Here is a 6,847-nt window from a genome sequence, read left to right as displayed (position 1 = left end):
CTGGGCAGCAGCGCGAGACTCCATCTCAAAAATAAATAAATAAATAAATAAATAAATAAATAAATAAATAAATAAATAAATAAATAAATAAAAGAGTTTCCAAGAGTTTCCTATCACTATTACTAGTTCAGGTTTTGTTTGTTTTTTACAGCCTGACCTTCAAATGTTTTATGCACTCCTTGAGGTTGTGTGCAAAATTTAGTGTGGCTGCTCAAATATAAAATTTCCTGGCCGAGTATTCATACTGTTTATCGAAGTCATCTATGAATTTTAAAAGTTTGGGAACTACTGTGCCAGGCTCTGCAGGTCTCCTAACACGAATAGATAGCTTCTATCATTAGTAAAACTCAGTGAACCATTATGAGTTTTGATTCCTACAAACACGAATTAGATCTTCAAGTAAAATAGTCCTTAAGAATTTATTTATAACATACATGAAAGCTATAGGTGAGATATGTTCATTTTGTTTTCTACAGCTTTCTTTGAATCATTTTTTAAAAATACACAATTATCAACAGCAGCTACCTAGTGAGATCAATGGGCCAAATTAATCAAAGAGAGCGTACCACACTGAGCATCACAAAGATTTGAGAATTTCCCCCAGCTTTTGAGCTGGCCTGCATTAATGCAGTGACCCACTAGATGTCAATGTTTCCATGAGAATGAATAAAGACATTCTGTTGTTATCCTTGAAACAGGATTAATTGATTGCTATAAAAAGTTAGATGAAATAAAATGTTCTCCTTGCTCTTCAAACTAAGATAAGCTAATAACTTTGGACACAATTTCACTCCTCTGCATTCACCAAATGTCCAATTACATATCCTCCCTGCCTGGACCTTCAGAACAATATAAAACTGAATGAAGGCTATGAAAGAAGTCACAGGAGGATTTTTGCAGAGCTTCCATCCAGTTCAGAAACAAAGCAATTCAATACATGTCTTCAAGATTTCTAAAGGCAATGACTTAGTAAGTAATGTTCTTCCCATATCATCCTCTATGTCCTTTTATTCTGCTTTATTTGATACATTTTTAAAAATGTCTGTGTGAAAACAATGTTTTAGCTATCTTTGTTCAAGTAGGCTTGCTTAATTGGGACAAAGAAGATCCTATTTGAATCATAAGTCAGCCAGGAATACTTTCGTGTTTTCAGATGTTCTGTTTTCACCATTTATCTGAGCACACATTTTAGATTATGTGCCTCAGCCGTCAGATACAGACAATCAGGAGAGCCACAAAGAGCCATCTAAAGAGGGAAGAAAACACAATAGATGGGATATGGGAAAAAATATATAACTAGAACATCTAAATGAGTGAGGAGGATGCTGAAAGCATTAATGCAGGGAAAATACCAGCACACGGGCTCCTTTATCTCCCTGCTCTTGTGGTTTCATTTAGTACATGTCCCTTTTCCTCCTGAGAGCAGAGAGCAAAGCAAATGAGACTTTATAGGATTCCATTGCATGTGCACTGAAACTTCTCCAACGTCAAATATTGCTTTCCTGGGGATATAAAGTCTACTGTGTGTAGTAAAGAACCAAACCTAGGATGTTCATCAAATATATGCTTGAGGTAAAACACAGAGATTGATTAGGGTGGAAATGTTTTTCTAATAAAACAGTAGGAAAAATGTGTTCCAAGAATTCAGTCATCTCTGGTTATTTTCAGCGCTGAAAGCAGATGGCCTCAGAGGCTGAGCTGGACACTGGTTCAGAAATGTAACACAAGGTTAACACTAACATATGCTGTCGTTCATGGGCTACCAGAGTTCCAAGAAATATACGAATTTATCCCAGTAAGACCCTTCTCTGAAATATTTTCTCCGTGCATTTTCTAAAAGTTAATGTAAGCAAGGCTTAAATGGGCTCAGGAAAAGGGGACATTTTATTTCCTTTGGACCCACTGGGAAACTTCCACAGTATCCAGTCTCTTTTCTCTGTCTTTTACAGTTTTCTCTGACATGTTGAAAGTAGAAGTGGTTATTTGTCAATGACAGTTTATTATTTTTATTCAGACAATATTTCAGTTTAATAGTCTAAGCATTTAAAATGTAATTCTTCATTTTAAAAGCAATATAGACAAATTATTAATCTAAATCTAGGATGCTAGACTTAAAAATATCCATCTAATTAATGTTATGGTGAGGTTTAGGGGTAGCAGTTTCTAGTAAGACTAACCATTTCCAAATATTTTCCCTTGCAGCCTGTCACTGATATCTGAAATGAACCAATAAGAGACTCATAAAAGAAATAGCTTTGCCATTAACAGAGAAGTCCATTTATCAAATTACTATCATTAATGTCTTAGTATGAACTCATTTATTTTCCTCTTTCTATGGAAAAGATGACCAAAACAGGGAAGTACATAGGGTTCTTCTTAGAGAAGGTGGTTTTGGTAGATTGCTCAGGATAGCGAAAGTCCTAAGAAACGCTGGATTTCTGGGGCTGTGAGAGAAATAGAAGCATCCAAAAATTAAGATGTATATCTAAAGATTTAGTAATAAAATACCAGGAGAATGTTTTTCTATACTTTTTCCAATTTTGCATTGGGAAGACCCTAAGAACAGGGTATTAGTTCCTGTAAACAATATAGCCAGTCCAGAGAAGTGCCATTTTTTTTCTAGTGCGAAATATAGAATAATAAGGAAGGAGTTATGGATTGAGTTATTGCTATGATAGTACATTGAGTTTAGGAAATTGCCTGACCTCCCGACTACTATGCTAGGGGCACTAGGGAAGATCAGCTGCCTCTCTCCCTCTTTCTCTCAATTGTGCATCCCACGCATAGGAACAGGATATCGTAATTTTAGAGGCAGATGAATGGTTTTCAAGAATCATTTTACCATTTGCATGCTCTGTTAACCTTGAGAATTTTCCTTAGCATTTCTAAACTTCAATTTTCTTCTTTCTAAAATGGAAAAAAAAAACCCACTATAATCTGTCCAAACAAATCATAGAGTGGTTTTAAGTTGACAACAACTATGTGCAAATGGGCTTTGTGAACTGTGAGGGGCTTTGCACAATCTCCTGAGTATATTATTTATATAAATAGTGTAATTATATTATTTCATGTTCTTTTAGGTCATGAAATCTGATGTAATTACAAGCAAAAAATACATCTGGTATTTACTAGGTTAGAAAGCATGAAAATGTGTGTAACAAGATTAGAAAAAGGTTACTTCTCCAAGAAAGGAAAAAACAAAAGAAAGAAATGCTGTGGGATTGTATTGGACTCCTGACAATGGCACCAACTTCACAATGTGATATTAATAGATTTTGAAGGATGGGGTGAGAGTGCCGAAGATATGACAGTATCCTTCTGGTGTTTTCTTTGGAGATGAAAGAGATAAGGCAATTTTTTAAATGTATATCCTAGATGCTTATTTAGCTCATGACCCTTTCAAAACATTTGCAATCACACATTTTGATGATTTTTCTGATGTGACTAAATCTTATGAGTTATTTTTATTAAGATCTTGCAAGGTTGCCAGACAACTAATTGTGGTGGAAAACAGCCAAGGAGCAGGGTCAAAGTGGTGCACAATGTGGACTGTTTCTCCAGCCTATTAGTTATCTGCATTCCTAATCATTCCAGAAACCTCTTTTAAATCTGAACAAATATTTGTCTGCATACTCTTCTCTTTTTTTTCAATTTTTGTGTCTGTGTCATGTGTGCATTTATAACTTACTTATCTCACTAGATTGCCATCTCCTCCCAGGCATAGTCTGTGTCTTGTCTTATCTTGAAGAGTACTGGTAGGATCTAATATAAGTTTAGGCACACAGGTCTTCCTCTAACATGGATCCTTTTGGTTGCAGGAAAAGGAGTTTGGGTTGTAGATAGGACTAACCTCCTCACTAGATGTACACATTTTACAATTATCTTTACAAAATTTGCTCCTTATCTTCTCATGATGACCTCAAAGAAGAAAAGAAACTTAGCTTATTCCTTCACATGGATTCGTGCATCAAACACTATTGAGTGCATATTGCATGCCAGGTTCTGTGTTAGCAACTGGAATGACCAAATAAATGTGACAAGAATTCTGTCTTAGAGGAACAGTTGAATAAGAATAAGGATTTCAGAGAAAGAGAAGCTCAGAGAAGGAGAATTCCAGCTGAATAAAGTCATGGGAAGGGACACCCCAGCTGCTGGGCTTTAAGATTAATATGTATTTGTGCCTCATTTGTTTTTTCTATCCTGGCTGTCTTTTATTTTTTTATTAATTAATTTCTTTTGTAATTTGCAAACATTGTATATATTTGTAATGTACAGCATAATGTTTTGATACATCTGGTGGTTGTGATTCAGAGTGGGCTCTGGTTAGCACACAAATTACATCATTAGTTCCATATTAGTCTATTTTAGATAGATAGAAATAAATCAAAGGGAAGAAGATGACTTGGAATTTGTGTGAAGCAAATGAGACACATACATATAGAGAAGGTCAAGACATGGGATGACTAATCTCACCAGATAGGAATCTCTCTTTGTGAATAAATACACTAATATATGTAGAAACACACACATTATAGTATCGTTTAAAAGAGGAAAATATGGAAAACCACATAAGTATCAGATATATTAGAAACCACAGAAATATCTTCTTATCATTTCTTCATTTCTTAGGGCTATTTTGGGGGGGATACTTTTTTCTCAGCTTCTATTCATTTTTAAGAGCTATTTTTTGTATTAATACATCATATATGTTGTAAATAGTTTCAGAGTTTATGTTTGCATTTAATTATTTCCTTTGCTGTTATATGTGATATCCTAATTTTTAATTAGTTGTACTTATGAGTCTCGTACTTTTGGTTTCTGCTTTTGGTATCATGCTTAGAAAGACTTTCTCCACCACGATGCCATATAAAGTGTTTATTTTCTCCTACTGTCAGTATGGTTTAATTTCTTTATATGTAATTATTTAATCTTGATAAAACTTATAACGATAAAAGGTAATAATTTAACATTCTACCCTCCCCAAGTAGTTAGGCAATTTTCCCTTTGCCACTTGTTGGAAGTATCTCTTTTATGACAAGCTTCTCTTTTAGACATGTCTGGTTTTGCACTAGTCCAACAATATTTAAATCTAGTTCTGTACTACATTAATTCTGATAGATATTATCCCCTCCTCATTACCCACTTTTATGTATTCCTGCTGTACTTTTTATTTATCCAATACCAGGAAGAAAATAAAATGTCAAAAAAAAAGACAATAAAAAGGCTTTAGTGATAAAGAACCAGAGCATCTCTTGTAAGAAAGAGAAGCAAGAGTATGAAAGACTTTGTTGGATGGTTTCAAAGAGGATGAAGGTTATCTAATAGAGGCATCCAATTCTGATTCAACTTTATTAGTCTCTAGACTCTGTTGACCCAGTTAATCCTGTAACAACTGCTACTTCAACAGATTTGGAAAGCAATTTAATAGCCTACAGATAGCTGCCGTATAATACCCAGAACTAAAATAACTACTGACTGACCAGACATTCCATTAAAATAGGTAACATTCATACAAGTAATTCATACTTGGGCAGAAAGTAGTCAAACCATGACTTTCATGACCAACCGGTGGTAATGAGATATTCCTGTCTAAAACAGCAATGTACTTCTAGTGACCACACTGTACCCAATATGTAAGTAGGCTCAGGCCTGCCCTTGGGGATGCACTATTCTTCTTCTTTTCTCAGAGTAAAACTTTGTGGCACAACTATTACAAACGGACTTAAAAAAAGAAATCAGAGATACAGCAGCATAAGGAACTGAAGAAATTTATTACCCCACCCTAATCCCCAAGGGTGGAAGTATTTGTTGCTTGTTATAGGTCTACTTTTTAATAATCTTATTACTAAAATTATTTTCAAGGCAAATAACATAGCATAATTTTAAAGTTATAAAATGCTAATCTTATTACTTTTTCATATAAAGGGAACCAGTGAGATTGAGTCTTCCAACACCACTGGTCTTACTATCTCAGATTAATAGATTTAAATTTAACTTCATTCAAGAGCCAAAAGCCCCATTAGGATATTCTAACGAGTTGATTATTCAACCTCTACTTGGATATATCCACGGTCTGAAAGCCTTTGTAAGCTGGCCCATTTTGCTCCTTAATTTTATTAGGTCAAAATGTCTCTCCCTATAACTTCTATGGTTTTGTCCCCTGGTGCCCCACGGAACACATCTACCCAGTCTTTGTTAAGTCAGCACTTTAAACATTTAAAGAGAGCAAGCTTCCAAAGATCTAAAAAGATCTCCAAGCTGACCATTCTCATTGATCTCTGGGAGCTTGCTGCCCCTCAAATGATGCTATTCTCTGGATTTTTTTGGTTCCTTTGGTTTCTGGGTTTATCAGAATCTGGAGCTCCAAACCCAATGAATCATTTTTTAAAATCTGCTGTATTTCTCTTTGCATTCCCAGTGTCAAATAGAGTTCAACATGTACATAGTAGGTTCTTATTAAATATTTGAGAACATAAACGAATTAATGAGATACTTTTGATTGCTTTCATGACGATTTTAACAATTATACAAACTCGGATCTGTGTTCTGACCAGAACGAAATTCTTCCACACATATAGCTGCATTCCTTGAAGTGTGTGAGAAAAAAAATCATACGTGGGCAGGTTAAATAAATTTTGGCTTACAATTTGCTTAAGGAACTTCAAGAGTTATACCAGTTGTATTTTATTGTTATTTTGTTGCAGTTCTAGGATCCAAAGCAGAAATTTGGTGTGTGGCAGCTCTACGTATCTCACAAAGGAAGATTTCATGTGGAAAGTTCCTGCAATGTCCCAGTGCACAGACACCGGTCTTTTCTAATGTGCTGGTTCAAAAGTAGTGTGCCCTT

The 6,847-nt window shown here is 35.0% G+C and overlaps 1 long non-coding RNA gene across 3 annotated transcripts in view; it reads left to right on the top strand.

Moving 5' to 3' along the window:
- The first annotated feature begins 882 nt into the window (after positions 1–882).
- LOC105374235 (uncharacterized) overlaps positions 883–6,847 on the top strand; it is a 221,596-nt gene continuing 215,631 nt past the window's right edge. For all 3 annotated transcript variants that reach the window (NR_188692.1, NR_188690.1, NR_188691.1), the window contains exon 1: positions 883–969. This is a non-coding gene — a long non-coding RNA (uncharacterized LOC105374235). The remainder of the gene's footprint in view (positions 970–6,847) is intronic.

The sequence above is a fragment of the Homo sapiens genome, chromosome 3 (assembly GCF_000001405.40).
Source record: "Homo sapiens chromosome 3, GRCh38.p14 Primary Assembly".
In the NCBI taxonomy this organism is placed as follows: domain Eukaryota; kingdom Metazoa; phylum Chordata; class Mammalia; order Primates; family Hominidae; genus Homo; species Homo sapiens.
Note: the sequence above shows the minus strand (reverse complement) of the source record. Positions and strands in the feature narration are given on the sequence as shown.